Source organism: Homo sapiens, chromosome X, assembly GCF_000001405.40.
Source record: "Homo sapiens chromosome X, GRCh38.p14 Primary Assembly".
In the NCBI taxonomy this organism is placed as follows: Eukaryota; Metazoa; Chordata; class Mammalia; order Primates; family Hominidae; genus Homo; species Homo sapiens.
In genome coordinates, this window is record NC_000023.11 from 105,420,498 (window position 1) to 105,446,530 (window position 26,033).

At 36.4% G+C, this 26,033-nt stretch overlaps 1 protein-coding gene across 2 annotated transcripts in view, besides 1 other annotated feature; it reads left to right on the plus strand.

Annotated features, from left to right (window-relative positions):
- IL1RAPL2 (interleukin 1 receptor accessory protein like 2) overlaps window positions 1–26,033 on the plus strand; it is a 1,201,631-nt gene that overhangs the window by 854,299 nt on the left and 321,299 nt on the right. The gene's annotated exons all lie outside the window — the stretch shown is intronic.
- Window positions 4,742–5,243: an enhancer, noted in NCBI's record as "NANOG hESC enhancer chrX:104669910-104670411 (GRCh37/hg19 assembly coordinates)". NCBI's record gives its function as "activates a minimal SCP1, AML or CMV promoter by ChIP-STARR-seq in primed H9 embryonic stem cells {active_cell/tissue: H9 hESC(primed)}" and the evidence as "EXISTENCE:reporter gene assay evidence [ECO:0000049][PMID:30033119]".

A 26,033-nucleotide genomic window follows, 5' to 3' on the forward strand; every position in this document is an offset into this window, starting at 1 on the left:
CACATGTGCTTGGTTCATCAGGGACTCCTTATTTTGCTTAGCCAATTCTGTCTCAGGGCCTAAGGAGTGTGCGTATCAAAAAACAAAATTGCATTAAAAGTTACATTTATATTGATGAAACAAAATATCCACAGGTTTATGTCCCTCAATTAGTAGCTATGCTGGATTGAGCTGTTCACTCAGAAATGGCTTCTAATAACTTAAATGTTGGCTGAGTATTTAAGATTAAGATTTGCCACTTAAATGACAGCAACACTTCATTCAGTATTGGGAAGTGTGAGAAATTTGACTGACAAGCCCCACTAGCCTATTTACAGGTATCAGGGTTACAGTTGAATTTAACCTTACACTCAGGCTTCTCCAGACCAAAAGAGCCCCATCTTCTGAACTTCCTCAAAAAGCGAAAGACAGATCTGAGAAACCTGTGCCAAGACAATCACATCACTGGGAATAAGAATAGTACTGTGAACCCCAGAAATCTAAGACAGGTCTCAGTTAATTTAGAAAGTTTATTTTGCCAAGGTTGAGAATGCACACCTGTGACACAGCCTTAGCGTGTCCTGATGACATGTGCCCATGGTGGTCAGAGCACAGTTTGGTTTTATACATTTTAGAGACATGTGAGACATCAATCAACATATGCAAGATGAACATTGGTTCGGTTCAGAAAGGTGGGGGACAACTAGAAGCAAAGACAGGACAACTCAAAGTGGGGAGTGGGCTTCCAGGTCAAAGGTAGATAAGGGACAAAAGATTTCATTCTTTTGAGTTTCTGATTTTCCTCTCCAAATGAGGCAATCAGATATGCATTTGTCTCAGTGAGCAGAGGGGTAACTGAATCAAACAGGACGCAGATTTGCCCTAAGCAGTTCCCAGTTTGACTTTTCCCTTTAGCTTAGTGATTTTGGGGCCCCAATATTTATTTTCCTGTCACACATTCCCCCTTCTCATTTTAAAAATCTTTTGGAGAAAGCATTTTAGAAGAAAATAAGTCTATGATCTCAGGTTTCGTCTGATAGATCATGGCTAGAATGGTTTATTCCTAGATGGGTAGGTCCTGAGTTATTAGGAAAGTTCATTTTTAGCAAATTGTGAAGTCTCATGTTTATGAAGAGAAAATAGGGGGAAGAGGGGAGAAAAACAACAACAAACCAAAGGATGAGTCTTTACTCATCCTGGAAAATCAATATAAGGCACATTACTCTGAAGTCCATACATCAGTAGGCAGCTATGAAAATGGTTTATGTAGGTAAATAGGTTGCTGTTATTTTCTTCTGAAGTTTAAGTTGTCTAGCTTCAGTTCACAGGGCTTTACAAAAGCACAGCTTAGTTTTCAGTGACTCCAAGTTAGAAAAATGTGGGGAAAGAGAAGGAGAAATAACTGAAAACATTATTTTGAAGACTTACAGCCAAGAAAAATTAGAATTCATTCCAAACTATAGAAAATAATAAAAATTGAAAAACATTAGGCAAGACTAGAATCTAACAACACGTTTACTACAGTTTTTTAAACATATTTTTTCTCTCTCCAGTTTTCCATTTTTACTAAAGACAAATTATGGTAGGACTGATTTGTTTTATTATACTTGGCCTGATTATTTGTATACAGTGCAGCAAGAATAACATTTTTTACAGAAGCTTTTAAATTGGCTTTGATGGAATTTTGTTTCATAGGAGTCTCAGATAAGACTTTTAAAGCTGAGCCCAGCCTTGGATTTATACCATCAAATGCCTATGATTTGGGTGAATTCCTCTTCTCTTGAGGTTCCAAGATAAACCTGGGGGCTCCTGGTCCTGTCAGAAAGTGACATTCTTTACTTACCCCGGGTTAGGACCCCTGTACAGGGAATGTGTAGACAAGGTATAAAGTCAGTTTTCCCAAGGGGCTTTTATTGGCTCCACAATTCAAGTTTGATTCCTTAAAGGAAAGCACACCATTCCAGTCAAAGCCTTAGTAAAATAACCAGTTTCTCCAATTGCGTCCTGTTATAGAGGAAAACAGATTGTTATTTCACTTGTGCAAATAACAAATATTAAGAATACTCATAAATAGCTTCCAAATACTGGAGAATTCAGGTAGAGAGAAACAAATATATTCTAAATTTTGTTCATAGAAGTATAATAAATTGTTAAAAGCTGCCAATAGCTCAAAAGAAAAGTTTCCTTGACTCTGGAAAAACAGAACAAAGGATCAGCAACGTTTTAAGCAAAAAGTCAAAAAGATTACTTCCGTCTTCTACTAGTTCAGTCCATGTAGTTAATTCCTGTTCTGCTTGATATTCATGAACATTTCAGTTCTCCATGAGTTCTAAAAGTTTTACTTCTGTTCTGATGTTACAATCTTCAAAGTTATCAGAAACTTGTATTCAAGAGCACCTGTGGGAGTTTTATAGCTGATTATAAAACCACCTTCTAAAGAGGACCAAAACAAGACAACAATTGTCTGCAGATGACAAAAAGTTTTAGGGCAGCCAGAGTCAAGGACACAATTGACAAGGAAATTTGTTGCCTTTGTTGCACACAAAAAATTATGTTAATAATTTAACATAACAATTATAATTATTACTGATAATGTCCACTAAGTCATATCAGAATTATAGGAGTTTCCCATTATTTTGGAACACATAGCAATAACATATGTATACAAACACGGTGCAAAGAAAACTAAAAGCCATTTCATATTTGACAGTGTTTTCTGTATAATTTTCATACCGAATAAACCAAATTGTCATTTTTGGACTTCAGGAAACCTAATATCTTAAAGGATTAATTAGGTCAGAAAAAGACATAATTTATAATTTGATTTTGGTAAGTTTGTCAAATATCCAAAAGTTAGAACACATGATATCACAGGTCATTGTAAAATAAGTCATTCATTTGGCCAAAGTGATAACTCAAGGATTTCAAACAAAAAGTGAGAACCTTCACTCTTTGAGAGATTTCTTTTTCCTTTCTCTTTTGCAGCTGTGAGGAATTTTGGCCATATTAGAGAGACTTTGTTACCCATAATTTGGAATTCTCACTCAGATTTGACCCAGTCAGGTAGAGTTGGTCAAATCTGATGGGAGAAAGAATGGAACAAACAACAACAACAACAAAAACCCAACAATATGATCACTGAGCACTCTAATGGTAAGGAGAAATTAAGACAAGTTAGTTGTTAAACTTTAGCCAAGGCAAAACCCCAATTCAGCTACTTACCTAGGGATGGTTCTCAGGCTGAAGATGGCTTTCTACCATTCTAGAAGCAGGAGAAAAAATCCTCAAACTCATCTTCCCTACTGGGAGCGAACTCAAACTCCATAAAGGAGTTACCTACCTTCCATCATCATGGAAACAGGAAATCTTGCCTTCCTTGTTGGAAACAAGTAAAAAAAAAAAAAAGGGTGTTGACAGCAAAATAAACTTTAGATCTTGACCAAATTTGGGGAGATCAGGGATTATCTGGAGGGGGTGCTCCTAGACCTAAGCAAATTTTCCTATTGGTTTGAGCCATAAAGTTAGTTCATACTTGTACCAAGCACCAGTAGGAGATTTGTCAAAAGGAAGGGGCATCTTTATTCAGAATCCCTTCATGGTTACCAAAATGTGAACCCCAAAAATCTGAAACAGGCCTCAGTTAATTTAGAAAGTTTATTTTGCCAAGGTTGAGGATGCACACCCGTGACACAGCTTCAGGAGGTCCTGATGACATGTGCCTAAGGTGGTCAGAACACAGTTTGGTTTTATACATTTTAGAGAGACATGAGACATAAATCAACATATGTAAGATGAAAATTGGTTCGGTCTGGAAAGGCAGGACAACTCAAAGTGGAGAATGGTCTTCCAGGTCATAGGTAGATAAGAGAGAAATGGTGGCATTCTTTTGAGTTTCTGATTAGCCTCTCCAAAGGAGGCAATCAGATATCCATTTATCTCGGTGAGCAGAGGGGTGACTTTGAATAGAATGGGAGGCAGATTTGCCCTAAGTAGTTCCCAGCTTGACTTTTCTCTTTAGCTTAGTGATTTTGGGGCCCCAAGATTTATTTTCCTTTCGCAGTACTCAAATGGAGCAGGAAGTGGAATGATACAGAGGACGTACATTGAATCTGGGGATGGGGGTACTGTGGAGAAGCTAGTTAAACAGTAAACAGTCCCAGCTACTCTGGAGGCTGAGGCAGGAGAATCGCCTGAACCCGGGAGGAGGAGGTTGCAGTGAGTGGAGATCATTCCATTGCACTCCAGCCTGGGTGACAAGAGTGAAACTATGTCTCAAAAAAATAAATGAATAAAATAAAAAATAAAAATTAAAAAAAAACAGTGAACAAAGGGATTAAGTGTGTACTGATAATCCTTTTCTTTCCACCTTGTCTTCCTTCTTGGTGGTAAGCTTAGCTCTTGCTTAGCTCAGTTCACACCTCTGCCATGCCTTGTAATTCTGTGGGACATCACCCGGGGGAGTCCTATTTTGGTTGCCAGCTGGGCTTGGAAGTACAGGCTCTTTACTCTGGGTCTCCATCCAACTGAGCCACCAGAGCAGGGTCAGACTTGAAAGAAATCCAGGGCAGCTACTGTCCTGACAGATAACCCAGCATCTTTCATTCCAGAGAACAGTCAAATTAGAGGAGAGAGATTTAAATCTTACCTTGCTGAGAAGAGGCTGTCACAACCCAGACCGCTCACTGAGAACAGCATTCTGACTAAACCTTGGAAGGGTATGGACATAGTAAAGGAGATTACTTGGGTTTGAGGTCAACAACTCTCTGCACTGAATGCAATGAGGGTGCCAAATGTCATCTTCTAAATTAAGGACCTGGCCAACTTAATGCAAAGACAGGCAGGGGAAGAAAAAGAAAAATACGGAGGAGGAAACAAAGACGATGAGAGTAAAGTCAGGAAAAGGGAAATTGAGTATACAGGAAAAAGGAAAGGAATTTGATTAAGGTGAATGGGAACATCTCCTTCCCCACCCCCACCTCAGGAATTGTTAGGACTGCAGCTGCTCTTTTAACTTTTTTTTTTTCCTGAAGTCAATTTTTATGCATAGGACTCAGGAAGTTTAAAATTAAATGACACTTGCCAGTTTTTTGACTCAGTGTAACTTCCCTCTCATGTTATCCTTTTTTTTTCCTTTGCTGATTCGTGTAAGCAAACCCATTATCTGAACAAAGGGGAGCTGACAGAGTGTCCTGACCTTATCTTTTCCAACTCCTAATTATTTTCACAAGGTACTGAAATGAAGTTTTGGATTTATTTTTTAAGTTGGGGAACTAGAAAATAAAGGAGTGAAATTGTGCTATCTCTGATGACACCAACAATTTTCCAGATTTAATTTAGTTTATTTTAAAAAAATGCTACAAAAAACCCCATCCTAACACCAACAAAAAGAACATCAACAAACCAGCCTGACTAAGCCCAGACCCCTGTCAGGAAATGAAATTGATTAAAGGTGCCCCCTCTTCCTGTTACTGTCTGTAACACTTGTCTATTTCTGCCAAAACATGTATCAAAATCTGTAATTTTCTTGTTTATTTTTTCTGTTTTTTTTTTTTTTTATGTTTTGCCTGTCTCCCTCCCAGTAGAATGTCAGATCCATTAGGGCAGGGATTGATTAATTAATTGTTTTGCTCCCTACCATATATATTTCTGAACTAGGAAAGTACCCAGACATAGCAGGCACTCAATAAACATTGATTGATTGATTGAATGAATGAATGAATGGTGAGGCTCACTGAACAGACAGAACAAGCCTTTAGGAGAGATCCAAACCACTAGTCTGTAAAGTACTATGTCATCTGACCCCTGCCTACCACAGCAACTTCATAATTTACTCTCCCTCTGACCTTTGAACTCCTCTCACACACTATATTCTACCTACCTCAGGGTGTGATACATGAGATTTCATTTACCTGGGATTTTGGGATGCTCTTACTGGCTTGGCAACTTCTCATCTTTCTGATCTCATTATAAAGGCACCTACATGAAAACTTCTTGGCCATCCCAAGTAGCCAAGTAGCCTCTCCTTAGCCCCTATTCTACTCCTTGTTATTCTCTCTCATTTTACATTGTTCCTTTCCTTCAAGGGATTATTTTTTGTAATTTATAATTCTATATTTATTTACTTCTTTATTGCCTGCCCCCTCCCATTGTTATATTCATAACGACTGGGATTATGTTTTTTTTTTCTTAACTCTGTATCCCCAACATCTAATACAATCATTGGTACAGAGTAGATAATTAAATATTTGCTGATTAAATGAGTAAGTAAATGAATAAATGAATTGCTAATGTTCCTTCTCCCACACCTCATTGTGCAGACATGCCATCCTGAGGTCTGGTGTTTTTATACTTTTGGCATGGCCATGTACCCTCAGACCCCACCAGAGAAAACCTTGGGCTAGGAAAGCCTGGATAGTCCCAATTACACTTCAATGATTTGAAATTAAGGTTATATGAATAATTTATTTTGAAAGGAAGAAATATAAAGAAGGGAAACATTTTTGTTTTCATTTCTTATGCTCAAAGTGGTTTGGGTTCAAAGTTGGATTTTTGTTGTAAATACACCACACTTGCAGCAATACAATATACCATGTTATTTTTGTCACAAACAGCAGATTTCCTAATGGGAGCTAGAGAGTCCTTTGGGAACTTGGCCAACCAGGCCTAGTAAGCCATTTTGATCATGTCATCTTGGATTAATTGCTATTTGGGCTCCATGCTTTCTTTGCCTGGATTAGGGGACAGGGCTTGTGCAAGCTCCTGATCAGGCCTCCTGCTGCCAGCACAATACTGTCTCCCACTCTCCTCAAATTCTTTATCTTCACCTGTTCTGGAACTCTCTAACACCCTATGACTTCAGCAGCTGTTGTCTCTGCCCCTGAATCAGACATGTGTTCAATAGAGGGGTTTATATAACTAGGCCCTGAGAAGGATTTTTCCAAATGGAACTACCCCATATATTTTATTTACTTTAGGATATATTGCTTCTGTCTCTGTATCCTTCCTAGTAAATATCATGTCTCTTAACTTTCTGGAGTCATGTTTATAAATGCAGCAGATTTGTGTACTATGTACAGACCTTGCTGATTTGCAGCTCCTAGCACCAATCCTTGTGTTTAGTAGACATTCAGTAATTATTGTTTAATCAAATTGGATCAAATCTGAAAGCGTATTGATGCCATTAGAGGAAGAAGAATCCAAAAAGACTGTCTTCCTAGGAAGGAAACTTCTTCATCTCTTTGACATTTTGAGAACTCCTTGTGTGAGGGCAACATGTGTAGATGAGATTTAGATTATGGTTTAAGACTAACTACTAACTGCTGGCCTCTATCAGTAACAGGAAGGGACAGTTAGCAAAATGGTGATTGAGTTTCTGATTCAGTTTCTATTGAAAGGATCTAAAATAATATGTATACAATTCATTGTAACTAGATGTTGGAGGTTTGAAATATTCCGAAAAGGATTCTAATTTAAAATATTGAAAAATATGCTTTGAATATATACAAATTCAAAACACTATATGGGAAAAATGAAAATAAAATAGAAATTGTGAATAAAATATATTAATGTTACAAAAGAAAGTAAAATTGAATCATATAGTAACATCTAGCTTTATTTTCAGAAAGTATTATCAAATGAAGAAAACACTAATATCTAAAACAAAAAACTACAAAATATTTGATGCACCAAATAAATTGAACTATCAAGTATTTCCAAAGGCCTAAGATTTCTTACATATAGACAGTACTAATATAAAATTTGTGTGAGTTGTAAAAACTGCCCAGTTCCAGACTCCAAGGGATACAAACAAATATAGTAGCTTTCTTTTTCTCTGTTGAAACTAAATTTTACTAACTCCTGGACTTATTCTCATTTCCAGGTCAAGATTTTGTTAACTCAGACTTTATACTTCGTCCAAATGACATTTGCATTGACAATCTCAGAAACCATTTTTGTCAGAGTTCCCGACAACATCCAACTCTGTCTGAGATTCCCCCTAAATCTCTAGGGGTCATCTGAGCCCACCTTCACCCTGCATCTCCTGCTCCTTTTATTCACTTCTGCGAAAAGAGGGAGTTGTGTTCACCTTCTTTTTGCATTTAGCAAATGAAAACAATCAATGGTATTTACAATTTCCAACATACATAATTAAGAGACAAGGCAGAAAAGATTTAAAGCAGACTTTCAAGATTTAGTCAATACTAAACCTGTGGTACATTTGTATAGTTTGCTGATCTGGATGCTTTGAGGATATAATGTCCCTCCTATAGAACTAATCATTCATGCTGCTTAGCCCTCATTTATTTTCTGACTCCTAAGAGCACCATGCTTTACGTAAAATGAGTGCACAAAGGTCAGGTGGCTTGAGAATTTGTATTTAGTTCAGAGACTTGAAAATTTGGTAGGCTATGCTTGTATTTTTTTCCCCTAAATCTGAAAAACCTGTGATTTTCCTTTCCCCAGAGGCAGTCTGCTGGATTAGATGGAGACACGTTCTGCCCCAAAGACAGAAACTAAATAATATCCGGAAATATCTTGATCTGAAGCAAAAGCCATGCCAAACGTTACTGAAGAAAGCTTTGAAATATAAAAATAAGATTAGAATAAGAATCCCAGTGTCCTACACTAAATATTTTAACAAAGAAATCGTTCACCACTTAGCACTTTGTGTAATACTGTACAGATTCTAAATAAAAATGGGATTACATAATTAGTACATTGATCAAAAATTGTGAAAATTAGCTTCAAGTTCTTAATAAGTCATAGCTGAACCTCAGCATGGGCAAACTGCTGAATGTTCAAGGGATGAAAAATAGAATTTCTGTTATGTAGCTCTAGGAGCATCATGAAAATATTCAATCAATCTGGCAGATTAAAGATACTGCAGGCATCCTTTATTGTCAGAGATTTGATTCATAATCTATACTTATCAAATTTGGTGACATTAAACAGTGGTTTTCAAAATTTAATATGCTTCAGAATCAACTGTCATGCTTGATTAAATGCAGATTCTTTGGCTAATACAAAAAACAGTCTCATTCAATGGATTGGTGTTGACCCAAGAATCTGCACTTTAACAAACAAGGCAGGTAATTATAAAACTAGTTGACCACAGACTATGTTTGGCAAACAATGCTCTAGTAACCCAGGGGTCAGCGGACATTTTCTGTAAAGGGTCAGATAGTAAAATATTTTCTGCTTTGTGAACCAAATGATCTGTCACAGCTACTCAACTCTGCCCTTGTAGCATGAAAACAACAATAGACAATATGTAAACGAATGGGAGTGACTGTATTCCAATCACATTTTATATGCAAAAAGAAGCCTTAGCTTGAGTTTAACCCGTGGGCTATAGATAGCATACTTTTCAGAACCTTGGTATAAAGAATTAACTCTTGTTACACACCTAATACCTTCAATCTCAGGTTTTTCTTTTTGTATCTGGTTTATAGTAGAGAGGAGCATCTGTTGGTCAACTGTGATTTTAGAGTCTGGCTCCATTTGCTATTGTAAATACCAAATAAAATAGAGAACAAAATTTTTTGAGCTGTCTACACAAAATAAAGGGAAATTCTCATGACCTATTTTCCAGAAAATCTTCTTGGATTAACCAAGCCCTGTCTGTAGTTAACCAACACATTCTCCTGCTCATGTTTTCTCTACAATTCGCATTAATGATTCTTAACCCCAGTATGACAATAATATGGGGCAGGAAGATTGAGCAAGCTCTTTTGATAGAACAAGGACAAAACATACCTGGCATTTGTGCTGCCATTTCAATTCACAACACCCATAGTAGACATTGCCAATCACCGGTAGTACTCTTTCCTTCTGAGTGCCTATATGGCCACAAAGTATTTCTCAAGAATTCCAGGTACTCATTACCATCAGACTAGAGTTGTCATGTGAGATAAAAATTATGTGTCATCCCTTAATAAGCTAGCCTTACTATATAGAATTTTTATTATCTGGGGTTATTCTATTTGGAGGCACATAGTATTATTTCTACTATATCTTAATCCATATAATTATGAGCCTTGCTTAATAGAGTTACATAATACACATTTTAATTGGTTGTCATTTTCTGTTAGAATATTAGTATCAAATTTGAGGACTGTGACTAGTTTATCATGTTATACCCTGAGATCATTCGAGAAACACTTGTTGCCAGGTTTGTATATCATCTTTTCTCATTAAAATTTCTATATTCATCATGTCTATATTCATCATGACTATGATAGTATACTGAAAACTTCTGCTAATAGTTACCTAACTAAAGGGCATTTGAAACCATATAAACTGACATTATTGGCAATCTGTAAATTGAATTGACCTATAGTTTCTTTTCTGGAAAGATATCATTGCAACTATAGCATATCTTTGAAGTAGCATTTTAGATCTATTTGGGTTAATATTTACTGTTAAAGAATTGTTTGGCTGCATAATTAAAATGTTCACTTACTAAGCACAATGTAGTTTCTAGCATTAAATGGACTCTCTTGCACAGCATGCTACCGACTCTGCAAACTCATGAAGTCATATGCTAGCTATTTCAGTAAAACTTATTTAGTAAAACTTGAAGAAAAATTAGCATTTAATGAAGCAAAGCAATTTTCAAAGCATTTACAATTCCATCCTGGCACATAAAGTTCATGTGTAATATGACTTTATCTAAATATTTACTGAGGTGGTAGCAAGTGTTTTACTGTTGGCAGGATTGGTTATGAAGGATTTGACCTGAAACTCAAATTGAATAGGATGAAAAGTTAAGTACAGAGAGCGAATACGGTCTAACTAGGTGGCTTGCCACAAAGTTTCTAGCATAGGCAAGCTGGCATGTGATCTGAGAGGCCATCTCCATTAGACACCCAGCTTTTCACCTAGCAAATTTGATAGAAACTCAAACACCAAAATGAAGCAGATGGATAGTGGCAACCTTCTGTATCTAGTACTGGTGTTTCAGCACCATAACCTCCCTTATAGGTATTCTCCAGGCTTTTCCTATAGACTTCTGTTATGCCTTGGGGAACATGATCTGACCTCTGATATTTCCAAATCTCCATAACAGGATCTGAGTTTGTTTATTTTTAACCAAGCTTCTTCCCTTAAAACATTAAAAATCTCTTCTAGCTGCTCAACAAAACTTTCGACGGCTTTAGGCAAAGAGAGAGCATTTGTTAGAGGTTCTAGGAAGACCCAACTCCAGAAATAATATGTTCCCCATCCTTATAGTTCTGATGTCTGTCTTTGAGACACATAAGAAACTGTTTACTCTAGATATTCTCTATACTTGACATTTATCAAGAAGATATGGGAAATAAAGAGGGGTTATAAGTGAATCTATGAGAATGAAGCACATGCAACTCGTGCAAATTTCAGAGAGAGAAGAGAGACAGTGGAACAGAAATGTTGGTGCAAAGGGGGCCTTGCAAAAGAAAGTGGGGTTGAGAAATCTGTAATGGACGCTTTGAATACTGCAGGAAATGAGATCCAGGTGGGTTTTGGACATGTTCTGGCCAAAATTGTGACCAGGTTTATCAACTATTGACAAGCTTAGTTTACCAAACCAAGAACCTTCTTGTTCTAAGATTTCAGTACACAGGACTAAGCTTCCAGAAAATTTGGGTAGTAGATTCAGTGTCTTCAATTTGCCTTTTTTTTTTTTTTTTTTTTTTTCACTTTTCTCACTCTGGAATTTTCCCACCACAACAATCACATCTTGTGCTTAATATCCTCCCTAGGCATTCAGCCACTCTCTTTGGAATATCAAAACATCTGGAAAATGTTGGGTGAGCTCATTTGCTCTAAGGTGTTAATGATGGGTGAAAAGCTTAATATGTTGCCTTTCCCATGTGAGTGTGTCTTGGGTCCAAAAAATGACTAATGAGAGCTATTCTGAACATTCTTCAGTATGGGAGAGGTATAGGTGATATAGAAGGTTTTCTTACTGTCACTGAAATCACAGTCCTGTAGGCCACTGATCACTCATAAAGTCTTCCCTGTGGTTGGCTGTGGAAATACAGATAGGAAAAATGTGGCTGGTTCTCTCAGTGTTTGATCTAGAACTATCATTAAGCCCCCCCTTTTTTTGCTTTTGTTTGGTTCAATTTGCTTTTAGTTTTTTGAAATCAGGCTCTGATAAGAATGCTAGAAAATTCTGAAAGACTCATCTCAAGACTTTCTAGACAAACAATGTATATTTTATTTTTTGTACAAGGTTATTTGGGGAGTGGGATAAGGGAGAATTCAGAGAGTTCAGGGCAAACCCTAGGATACAGATACCAATTTCAGAGTGCCAGCCAGGCCTTAGAAAATCTACTTACCATACCCAGGGAACCCATTGCTAATTTGAATGACCAATTTGTTGTTTTTAACCCAAAGTTTTCTCTCATCAAGTCATTGTCTCTATTTAAACAATTATTTGCCAGTCTGTATAATAATTGATTTTTTTGTCTTGGTGGCAGATGGGAAACTAACACTTGTAATGTTATAGACCATGTCTGAGCATGAATCTTTAGATCAACTTGAATTTTAATATACAAGGTTATTTTTGTCTTTAATAAATGACTTGCTCATTGGTATAGAAGATACACTTTTATTATCCTTTTATTACTTTCCATGTAGTTCAAAGTTTAATATGCTAGTCTAGCTATGATTGGTTAAGAAATTGACACACATGGCTATTATTGAGCACAATATAGTGACTATCAATATGTGTTTTTTCCCGGAGTGGGAAAAAACCCCACATTTCTCACATTTGTACACTTTGAGAGTTGGAAATCATCAAATATTTAGCTAGTTCCATTGATCTTAGCTTATTAAAACTTCTTGTCAAATGGTAGGAATTCTTAGTTTATTTTACTGAAGCAAAATAAACCTAAATGAATTAAATGGTTCTGTTAGTTGCGGCATCTATAAAATTAGGAAATTGGGTGAGATGAATATAAGGTGCCATAGCTATGTCCTCTAATATTCCTTCAAGCAAACATCTATGAATCCATGTTTAGATTTGGCTCCATAACAATAATGCCTTATATGTGATAGCACTCTCTAATTTACTTATGTGAGCTTAATTGACTTGCAACTACCCTATTCCTTTACATATTTACTAAGTTCCTACTAATTGTCCACAGTGTCATTAGGCTTTGAAAATATAAAGCTGAGGTAGACAGTCCCGTGATTATTGTCCCCATTTTAGAAAGAGGGGATCACAGACTCAAAGATGTTTAGTGACCAGAGATTACAGTTGTGGAGCTGGGACAGAATTCCAAGCAATTTGACTTAACCTGTTCATACTCACCTTCTACCTCTTGTGTGCAAGTAGATGGACCAGACAGAAATGCAAAAGTTAATGATATGGATATGTCACCAAAAGCATGATCCATAAAAGAAAAAAAATGATAAATTACACTTCATCAAATTTAAAACTTTGCTCTGTGAAAGACACTGGTCTTTCATGAAATAAAGAAAGACAAGTCACAGACTAGGAGGAAATATGTGCAAATTGCAGATCTAACAAACTCGAATTTATAATATTTAAAGAACTCTTAGACTCAATAATAAGAAAACCAACAACACAATGAAAAATAGATTGAACAGATAGTTGACCAAAGAAGATATACAGATGCTAAATAAGCGCATGAAAAGATGTTAAATATTTCTAGTCATTAGAGAAAAGCAAGTTAAGACCACAATGTGCTACCATTAACATTCATTAAAATAGTTAACATTAAAAAATACTGACAATACCAAGTGCTGACAAGGATGTGAAGCAACTAGAGCCCTCATACATTCCTGGTAGAAATGCAAGATGATACAGTGCTCTGGAAAATGGTTTGGCAGGTTCTTATAAAGTTAAACGTGTACTTGTCATATTGACCAGCAATCTCAGAATGAAAACTCACATTTGCGTAAAAATATATACATGACTGTTTACGGCAGCAGTATTCATAATTGCCAAAAACTGGGAACAGACTAAATGCTGTTCAACATGTGAATGAATTTAAAAAATTGTGGTGCATCCACACAATGAAGTGCCACTTGACAATGAAAAGGAAGAAATCTTTGTCCACTTTGTGATGGGATTGTTTTTTTCTTGTAAATTTGTTTAAGTTCCTTCCAAATTCTGGATATTAGACCTTTGTCAGATGGGTAGATTGCAAAAATTTTCTCACATTCTGTAGGTTGCCTGTTCGCTGTGATGATAGTTTCCTTTGCTCTGCAGAAGCTCTTTAGTTTAATTAGATCCCATTTGTCAATTTAGCTTTTGTTGCAATTGCTTTTGGTGATTTTATCATAAAATCTTTGCCCATGCCTATGTCCTGAATGGTATTGCCTAGGTTTTCTTCTAGGGTTTTTATGGTTTTGGGTTTCACATTTAAGCCTTTAATCCATCTTGAGTTAATTTTTGTATGAGGTGTAAGGAAGGGGTCCAGTTTCAGTTTTCTGCATATGACTAGCCAATTTTCCCAGCACCATTTATTAAACGGGTAATAGTTTTCCCATTGCTTATTTTTGTCAGGTTTGTTGAAGTTCAGATGGTTGTAGATGTGTGGTCTTATTTCTGAGGTCTCTATTCTGTTCCATTGATCTATATGTCTGTTTTGGTTCCAATACCATGCTGTTTTGGTTACTGTAGCCTTGTAGTATAGTTTGAAGTTAGGTAGCATGATGCTCCAGCTTTGTTCTTTTGGCTTAGGATTGTCTTGGCTATGTGGACACTTTTATGGTTCCATATGAAATTTAAAGTAGTTTTTTCTAATTCTGTGCAGAATGTCAATGGTAGTTTGGTGGGAACAACAAACATATGAAAAAAAGCTCAACATCACTGATTGTTAGAGAAATGCAAATCAAAACCACAATGAGATACCATCTCATGCCAGTCAGAATGGTGATTATTAAAAAGTCAAGAAACAACAGATGCTGGCAAGGCTGTGGAGAAATAGGAATGCTTTTACAGTATTGGTGGGAAAGTAAATTAGTTCAGCCATTGTGGCAGATGGTGTGGTGATTCCTCAAGGATCTAGAACCAGCAATCCCATTTGACCCAGCAATCCCATTACTGGGTCTATACACAAAGGGATATAAATCATTCTATTATAAAAATACATGCACACATATGTTTACTGCAGCATTATTCACAATAGCAAAGACCTAGAACCAACCCAAATGTCCATCAATGATAGACTGGATAAAGAAAATGTGGTACATATACACCAGGGAATACTGTGCAGCCACAAAAAGGAATGAGATCATGTCCTTTGCAGTTACGTGGATGAAGCTGGAAGCCATCATCCTCAGCAAACTAAGACAGGAACAGAAAACCAAACACTGCATGTTCTCACTCATAAGTGGCAATTGAACAATTAGAATACGTGGACACAGGGAGGGGAACAACACATACCGGGGCCTGTCAGAGTGGGGGCAAGGGCAGAGAGAGCATCAGGACAAATAGCTAATGCATGCGGGGCTTAATACCTGGGTAATGGGTTGATAGGTGCAGCAAACCACCGTGGCACATGTATACCTATGTAACAAACCTACACGTCTGCACATGTATCCCAGAACTTAAAATAAAAATAAATAAATAAGAAAAGGAACAAACCACTGATACATGCAACAGTATGGATGAATCTCAAATGCACAATGCTGAATGAAAAAAGCCAGACCCAAAAAGTTACATACTTTATTTTTTCCACTAAGATGACATTCTGGAAACAGCAAAACTATATGGAGAGAGAAGAGATCAGTGATTACCAAGGGGTTAAGGGAGAGAGACTGACTTCAGAGGCCAGCATGAGGGCAATCATGCTGGGGTGTTATAACTGTCCTATATCCTGTTTGTGGTGATCATTGCAGTCATCTATGCATATGTTAAAACTCGTAGAAATATATATCCAAAAATTGTAATAAAATAATTATTACACATTAATCCTGACAGTTAAAATTGGTTCTAGCCAAAATTTAAAAATAAGTGAGGTTTGAATTTAGCAATAAATGCTTCCTTTACTTTTTTGTTATTAGAGACACTTTTCTATGTATTGTCTTTCCTCAGTTCTTTCTCTCAGTTTTCAGGATATGATTTAATAACCAATTCACAGAAAAGTTTAAATGACTGATAATAGCTACATGTGTTTCCTCTAGTAGGGCCATATTCATTTGAGCAGGTTACCAAAATCTTAAATTAAAATAACGCATTTCCAACAGTAGGTGGGATGCCAAGCAACAGCCAAAGGATAAAGGAGTTGGTAGGGATAAAGAGTCAGAACAGCCTCCATTACATTACTGAAATGAAGATATATTTGCTTTGAAATTTTAATTTTGGAGGTTGTATAAGAATATCACTTAGTCTATATGGTACTATAGACAAATATATAGAAATGTAGATAACACTCCCAAATACTGATGAATGTGCTCAGACCAGGAAGGGAAATCTTACATGGAACAATAAAAATAAGTGTCTTGAAATCTTAACTTCTTAATAAATCATTTAGTTGATTGATTTTTACATCAAAATTCTGAAACTAAACTCATTGTAAAAATATAAACGTATATATATATATATATATATATACCATATTTATTGTCACTTTCTGAGAGCTGAGCAACTATAGTTGCATATAAATCACTTTAAAACTTATGTAATAGTGAGAATTCATTTGTAAATTATAGTATTTTTAAAGCAAAATGTCACCCAGTACTTTATTTTTACCTACATTTACATGTCAGGTTTCCTTAAAGTGAGGTATACCTGCACAAGAATGGGGAAGTTTTGAGCACTATAGAATTTGCTTACTTCTTTTTTATTCTTATTAATATCAAATACAGGTAAACCAGACTTTACAAGCAATGCTACAAACAGTGTAGAAAGTGTCTCTACATCTATCATATAAATTCATGTTTATTAGATCTCAGTGAGAGTAATAAAGAGTTTCAAAATAAATTGGAGCTGCAGTTCTTTTCAAAGTGACCCCGGTAACAATGTGTCTGAATTGGAATACTTTATCTATATTGATTTTTATTTTCATGTCAAGTTTGAAAAATATGTCAGGTGTACTTTGAGGATACATAAAGCATATATTCCTAATTGTATTTATTTTTTTGCTACTGTCTATGTCAGGTGTACTAGAAACATAGGGATTATTAAAATTAACTAAAACATGGCATTATTACCCATTTAGAAACAGGTGCTAGGAACTCTCAATCTTGGGTTCTATGTACCCAGTTTCAATCTTACTGGTCAATTCTGTTTAAAAGCAATCCAAACCAGAATTTTCTCTGAGGAGAACAACAGTAAAATATAAAGTGTTACCATGGGTTAAAAAAAATAGTTGAGTGGATGAATATTTAGTCACAGCCATTAACCTTTAATTTTAATGGTTTTGATTGAGGAAGAAGTTTTTGTTTTTAGCATGACACTTAAGTAAATGAATGGTTTGATCAAAATTTACTGTTATAGGCTAAAAGTATGAGATTAATAATAGAATATCAGAGATGCCAGTCAAGCCACTGAAGAAATGGATTCAACCTAATAAAGAGCATAACTCATCAAACTTAACCATGACAAGCCTAAATATTCCCATTTCATCAAAATAAAATGGCTATAATTAAGTGTTTTAAAATTAATGTTATCAGCTCTTCATTCATCCAGTCATTCTAGGCCCTGCTTCCCAACTCTGAACAACTTCCACCTCTGCCTGTTCCCTCTAACTAGGGAAATGTATCAGACTGAGTGAAGATTTGAGCAATGGCACAGAGGTTGATGACGTGAGAAATAATGACCTGGTTAAGTACCAGATAATGGGTATGTGCCAAAGATTAAGGGGAGCCTTTGGCTAGAAACAAGGGGATGTTTGAATTAGCCTAACATATAAGATCCCGAAGCACCCAGCTCCAGATAAAAAGAATCAGGGATATTAAATCAGGAGGGAAATAGTAGAAGGAGGTAAAAGACCAAACTTGATAACCCAAAGTATTATAAAACTCTGTTTTGGGGTTACATTAGAAGATGACTTAGGGATGTGGTATATGAATACATCAGGGAGTAGTGGCGTGTTGGACAAAAAGAACCACGGAAATATAGAATCTCTTTTTGTGCCCATAATTTAGACTAAGCTGACATCATTGTGGCTTTCGCTTCTGTTAGATGGGCTCGTCTGTGATGAGGCCCAACAGATTTGGCTTTACTTAAAATTGAGTTCTTCAAGACTTCAGAGTGGCAAGATTACAGGGTATTTATGTGGCATCCCTCCTCTCCCATTAGTCTTCACAACCTCAAGGAGAAGACAAGTAACTGAGCATAAGGAATTGATGCAGTCCTCAGGTTCATGTAGAGGTCCCTCTTTCCTGTTGATTAGTAACCTGCTTGTATGTTTGACATTGCTTGGCTGTGTGTGCCCACCCAAATCTCATGTGGAATTGGAATCCTCAGCTGTCAGGGAGGGACCTGGTGGAAGGTTATTCGATCATGGGGGCGGTTTCCCCCACGCTGTTTTAGTGGTAGTGAGGGAGTTCTCACAATATTGATGGCTTAAAAGTGGCAGTTTCCCTGGCACTCCCTCTCTCTCCTGCTGCCAGGTAAGACATGCCTTGCTTCCCCTTCACCTTCTGCCATGATTGTAAGTTTCCTGAGGCCTTTGCAGCCATGTGGAACTGTGAGTCAGTTAAACCATTTTGTTTATAAATTACCCATTGCCATGTAGTATCTTTATAGCAGTGTGAAAATGGACTAATATAGTGTTCCTACCCTGTTGCCATTTGTGAGCTTGAACTTTATCTCTTCTGACTGTGATCTTGGCTTGGCTGTTGGCTCAGCTCTTGTGTATTTATGATTTACTTCCTTTTTGCTGCATGTGCTTTACTTCAGATCCTGATTGATCCTGTATGTTTGAGCCTAAAAGTACAACTACAAGTCCAAATTGCCCCTTGGGCAAATGTTTGGCATTTTTTTTAGACTCTACTATGATTCTTGTTAATCCTACTATATTGGCTCAATCAGAAGTGCCCAAGACCGTTCCCTTTACAATATAACTTTTGCTGTACAAAAAAAAAAAAAAAAAAAAAATGGGGTAAGGAAAAGGATGGAAGAAAAAATGATACTAAGGAGACATTAAGTTAGGAGAACCTCCTTAACATTTTGTCTATTCTACAGGAACCATCTTCTCTTATAAAATATTTTTTGGTACAGGCCAGAGAAAAACACATTGCACTGCATGGGATGGATAATTTCTCTGGCCCAGAGCGATGTTTTGTATGTGTATGTCTGGAAAGGAGCCAGGCTCAATAAGGACAGAAAATATCAATGAGAATGGGATAGGAAGTTGAATTTGAAGATTATTTCGGGTAATGAAAAACATCTGATGACCTTGGCCGACTACTAAATTAAATCTGAGTTAAAAGATAGTTTGGGGCTTTAGGAACAAGAGTCCGCAGGTATATTTCTCTGTTGATAACTATTTGTGATGGAAGAAATGAGGTGAGGAATGCCTAGGTGAATGTCTTTCACAGCTAAATTGAAACATACAGACTCAGACAGAAATGGTCATGGAGGTTTACTTTTAAAAATAAATTCATATACCAGCTCAGAAAACATCCCACAAAATGACAGTATGTGAAGGGTTATCCTCTTGGAAAAGGAATTCAATTTTGAATTATCCATACTACAGACCTTGGGAGTCTTTAGTCACTTCATCCAATGAAAAATGGAGATGTTTGACTTAGTGACAGATGATCTGCTCAACAATGTTTTCTTTCTTCTATTGCTGCTTCAATTGTATATTTAGTGAATTAGTTGTGATTGATGATAGCATTTTAAGCACTTGATATTTTTTTCTGGTGAAAAGATGGCATAATTTAACTATATTAATAGTTTTAGGTTTAAGTGAAGCACAATATATTTTTATAATCCTTCAATAGTGAAGTCACAATTTATACAAGTGGATTCATTCTGTCTTTAGACCACGGAACTCTGACAAAAGGATGTCATTTAAAGTAATGTTGCTCATCCTTCAGAGATGCAAAACTGAAGGCTACATTGCTCTGATATGAAATAACTTTGGAGTTTTGAATGCCTGGCAAAATTTGTATATGCCACTAACAGTAACTTAAGTGGTTTGTACAGCTGGAGCCAAATATGCTCTGCAGAGAAAAATATCACCAACTGCTGTAATTTTCACATAAGTAATAGGACTAAAGAAACAGTTTTGTTCAGAAACAACACCTTCTCTAAAATCTGGGCATGAAATGTTCAATCGGTGATATGGATTGTCTGTGTCTCCACCAAAATTTCACCTTGAATTATAATAATTCCCACATGTCAAGGGTGGGGCCAGGTGGAGATAATTGAATCATGGGGGGTGGTTTCCCCCATACTGTTCTTGTGGTAGTGAATAAGTCTCAGCAGATCTGATGGTTTTATAAATGGGAGTTCCCCTGCACAAGCTCTCTTGTCTACCACCATGTAAGATGTGTCTGGCTTCCCCTTTGCCTTCTGCCATGATTGTGAGGCCTCCCCAGCCATGTGGAACTGTGAGTCCATTAAACCTCTTTTTCTTTAGAAATTACTCAGTCTAGGGTATTTCTTTATTAGCGGCATGAGAACAGACTAATACAATCAGTGTCAATGTTTATTATTAATAACATAATTATGGACAACGTAAAGTGCTAGTAATTACAACAGATTAGAGAGCTGCTATTTTACCTCAGGTGGTATTATTTGGAGTCTGGTATATATCAGATTTAGGGTGATTACCTTAAAACCTTAGAAGAAATGATATTAACTAAATGTTATTTTCTACTTAGTCTGTTACTTCCTGCAGAATAATAGTTTATGCTCTTACTTAGTAAATGTCACAGTAGGGGAGAAAATATAAGAGCATGCCCATATACCCACACAGTCTCCTTTGGTGTAACTACCACATCACAGTATCTTAGTGCTACCTGAATGCCAATAGCTAAGTTTTGTAAATGGAGATGAAAGAGAACTAGGGAAATTAATTGATGTGATTATCTTTCAGTAGTGCTGTATAATGACGTATTTACCTAAGCTTGTAGGCCTTTAAGTGGACTCTCAACATTTCTAATATTGAATGAACCCAGACCTCTCTTAAAACATGCCAGTTCATACATATTATGCTTATAAGATTCAAACGTTCTCTCATACTGATAGCCTTCAACTGAGATATATTTAGATTATCAATGTCAAATTAAGACATGACAAGTTCCCAAAGACATATAAACATGACCCTGACAAATGAATGTGCTGGAAGCTGGATCTTATGTAGAAGTAATAGCTTCCATTCTGTTCCAGATCTGGGGTGTATGTGTATGTGTGAAGTTGACTGTATAAATGTAAAAATTTATCCAAATCTTTGGTATGAGTTTCTGTGGGACCTTTGGATGGTACCTCATCATACCATGTCTGAATGGTATGTCAGGAACATACCGTTCTGACATAGGTTTGAAGACTAGTCTTAATACTAAAGCATTTCCCCACGAATAATTTTATTTATAGTATTCATAAGTAATAACTACAAAAAGGCTCATTATTATGAATTGGGTTCTTCTTTATTTTTTATTTTATTTTATTTTATTTTTTTTGGAGTCTCACTCTGTTGCCCAGGCTGGAGTGCAGTGGTGCGATCTCGGCTCACTGCAAGCTCTGCCTCCTGGGTTCACGCCATTCTCCCGCCTCAGCCTCCCAAGTAGCTGGGACTACAGGTGCCCACCACCATGCCCAGCTAATTTCGTTTTTGTATTTTTAGTAGAGACGGGGTTTCACTGTGTTAGCTAGGATGGTCTTGGCTAGTCTTGATCTCCTGAACTCGTGATCCACCCGCCTCAGCCTCCCAAAGTGCTGGGATTACAGGTGTGAGCCACCGTGCCCGGCCATGAATTGGGTTCTTATTACCTACCAGGGGTATAAAAATGTGCAGTCTTCTGATCCTAGCTCTAGGCAAACAAATTCATAAGGTGCAAACATTGTGTAATCCCTTCAATACTGCTCTCTGTCACTATTCACAAATGTTAGCTCCCTATTATCCCCAAACTTTGTGGCACGTTTTTAAAATCAGTCCCTAGCCTGTAAAGGCCCCAAATGATACCAACCTCCCATCTCTTGCATGCTTATATTTTATACTTCTGACAGAGGACATGTAAAGCTCTGCCTACATTTCTATTATTTACACCCGAATCTTTGTAGCATTTCATACCCCAAGCCCCTTAATAATGTGCAGTAGAAGCTCTGTGCCCAAACTGTATTGGCATATGCCACATGCTGGATCCCTTCTACTTTGAGTGAGGACAAAGAGTCTTCATACAGGCTGGGCATGGTGGCTCACACCTGTAACCTCAGCACTTTGGGAGGCTGAGGCCGGCAGATCACTTGAGGACGGGAGTTCAAGACCAGCCTGACCAACATGGTGAAACCCCATCTCTACTAAAAATACAAAAAGTAGCCCAGCGTGGTGGTGGGCACCTGTAATCCCAGCTACTCAGGAGGCTGAGGCAGGAGAACTGCTTGAATCCAGGAGGCAGAGGTTGCAGTGAGGTGAAATTGCACCACTGCACTCCAGCCTGGGCAACAGAGCAAGACTCCATCTCAAATCAATTAATCAATAAAATAAAAACAGTCTTCATACAAAGGGTAGATTATAACCTATGGTACTTTATTGGTAGTGTCTTCATTGGATTGATAATTTAAGTTTCAATTGATTTCTTTTTAAAATGTTTTAATTTTTAATTATTGTGGGTACATAGTAGCTGTATATACTTATGGGTACATGAGATATTTAGGTATAGACAAGCAATTTGTTATAATCACATCATGGAAAATTGGATATCCACCCCTCCAGCATTTACTATTTGTGTTACAAACAATCCAGTTATACTTTTTTTAGTTATTTTAAGATGTACAATTAAATTATTATTGACTATAGTTTCTGTGTTGTGCTATCAAATACTAGGTCTTATTCATCCTTTCTATTTCTTTTATACCCATTAATTTTCCCCACCTCTCCCACAATCCCCCACTACCTTTCCTAGCCTCTCGTAACCATACTTTATTCTCTATCACCACGAATTTAAATGTTTTGATTTTTAGATCCCACAAATGAGTGGAACATATGGTGTTTGTGTTTCTCTATCTGGTTTATTTGACTTAACATAATGATCTCAAATTCCATCCATGTTTTTGCGAATGACAGTGTCTCAATCATTTTATGGCTGAATAGTACTCCATTGTGTATAAGTACATTTATCCATTCATCTGCTGATGGACACTTAGGTTGTTTCCAAATCTTGGCAATTGTAAACAGTGCTGCACAAGCATAGGAGTGTAGATGTCTCCTTCATATACTGATTTCCTTTTTGGGGGGTATGTACACAGCAGTGGGATCGCTGGATCATATGGTAATTCTATTTTTAGTTTTTTGAGGAAACTCCAAACTGTTCTCCATATTTGTTGTACTAATTTACATTTCCACCAACAGTGAACAAGGGTTCCCTTTTCTCCACGTCCTTGCCAGCATTTGGTATTGCCTGTCTTTTGGATGAAAGCCATTTTAACTGGGGTGAGAGTATATCTTATTGTAGTTTTGATTTGCATATCTCTGATGATCAGTGATATTAAGCAACTTTTCGTATGCCTGTTTGCCATTTGTATGTCTTCTTTTGAGAAATGTCTATTCAAATCTTTGGCCAACTTTTAATCAGATTCTTAGATTTTTTTCCTATAGAGCTGTTGAACACCTTATATATTCTGGTTATGAATCCCTTGTCAGATGGGTAATTTGCAAATATTTTCTCCCATCCTGTGGATTGTCTTTTCACCTTGTTGATTTTTTCCTTTGCTGTGCAGAAGCTTTTTAACTTGATGTGATGACATTTGTTCATTTTTGCGTTGGTTCCTGTGCTTGTGGGGTGTTACTCAGGAAACTTTTGCCCAGACCAATGTCCTGGAGACTTTCCCCAATGTTTTCTTATAGTTGCTTCATAGTCTGAGGTTTTAGACATAAATCTTTAATTCATTTTGATTTGATTTTTGTATATGGTGAGAGGCATCATGTTTCATTCTTCTGCATATTTTTTAATAATGCCAAAAGTATAATTCATTATTAATATATAATAATTACAAATATCTGTAGGTAAAATAATATTGTTTTATTTATATGTATTTATTTTTTAATTTTAAGTTACAGGATACAAGTGCAGAATGTGTAGGTTTGTTACATAGGTATACCTGTGCCATGGTGGTTTGCTGCACCTATCAACCCATCATCTAGGTTTTAAGCCCAGCATGCATTAGCTATTGGTCCTAATGCTCTCCCACCCTGTTGAGGATTTTTGCATCAATATTTATCATATATATTGGCCTGCAGGTTTTTTTATTCTCATGTGTCTTTGTCTGGTTTTGGTGTCACAGTAAAACTAACCTTATAGAATGAGTTTGAAAGTATTCCCTTATCCTCTATTATTTGGAATAGTTTCAGAAAGATTGGTATTAGTTCTTCAAATGTTTGGTAGAATACAGCAGTGAAGCCATCAGTTCCCAGGCTTTTCTTTTCTGGGAGACTTTCTATTATGGCTTTGACCTTGTTACTTATTCTTGGTCTGTTCAGGTTTTGGATTTCTTCATGGTTCAATCTTGATAGTTTGTATGTGTCGAGGAATTTATCAGATTATTCTAGATTTTCCAATTAATTGGCATAACTTACTCATAGTAGCCACTAATGATTATTTGAATTTCTGCAGTATCAGTTATAATGTCTTTTTTTATCTGTTATTTATTTGGGTCTTCTCTCTTTTCTTCTTAGTTGGGCCAAAGACTTGTCGACTTTATCTTTACAAAAAAACAAATTTTTGTTTCCTTGATCGTTTTTATTTCCTTGATCGTTTTTATTATTTTCTTCATTTCAGATTCATTTATTTCTGCTCTGGTCTTTATTATTTCTTTTCCTCTACTAATATTGAGTTTGGTTTGCTCTCACTTTTGTAGTTCTTTTAGATGTATCATTGGGCTATGTATTTGAAGTTTTTCTTTTTTTGATGTAGGGACTTACAAATTTTTCTCATAATACTGCTTTTGCTATATCCCATAGGTTTTGTATGTTGTGTTTTCATTATCATGTGTTTTAAGAGCATTTCCAATTTTCTTCTTAATTTCTTCATTGACCCTCTGCTTATTCAGGAGAATATTCTTTAATTTCCATGGATTTTACAGTTTCCAAGATTCTTCTTGTTTATTGACTTCTAGTTTTATTGCAATTGTAGTCAGAGAAGATGCTTGATATTATTCCAGTTTTTTTGAATGTTTTAAGACTTATTTTGTGGCCCAGCAGCATATGGTCTTCTTTGGTTTATCCATGTGCTGAGGAAAATAATGTGTATTTTTCAGGTGTTAGATGAATTATTCTACAAATTTCTATTAGATCAGTTTGGTCTCTAGTGCAGATTAAGTCTGATGTTTCTTTGTTGATTTTCTGTCTGGAAGCTATGTCCAGTGCTGAAAGTGAAGTGTGTAATTCCCCTGCTATTATTATATTAGGATTTATCTCTCTCATTAGCTGTAATACTATTTGCTTTATATATCTGGGTGCTCCAATGTCAAGTGCTTATATATTTAAAATTGTTATATCCTTTTGCAGAATTGCCCCCTTTATCATTGTATAATGACCTTCTCTGCCTCTTCTTACACTTTTTGTGTTAAAATCTATTTTGTCTGATATTGGTGTAGCTATTCCTACTCTTTTCTGGTTTCCATTGCCGTGGGATATCTTTTTCCATCCCTTTATTTTCAGCCTACATGTATCTTTCTAGGCAAAGTGTGTTTTTGTAGGTAACAGATCATAGAGTCTTATTTTTCCATCTATTCAGCTACTCTACATCTTTTGATTGGAGAGTTTAATCCACCTACATACAATGTTATTATTGACACATAAGGACTTATTCCTCCCATTTTGGTATTGGTTTCTGGTTGTTTTGTGTCCTCCTCTTCCTTTTTTCCTTCCTTCATGTCTTCCTTTTAGCAAAGGTGATTTTCTCTGCTGGTATAATTTAAT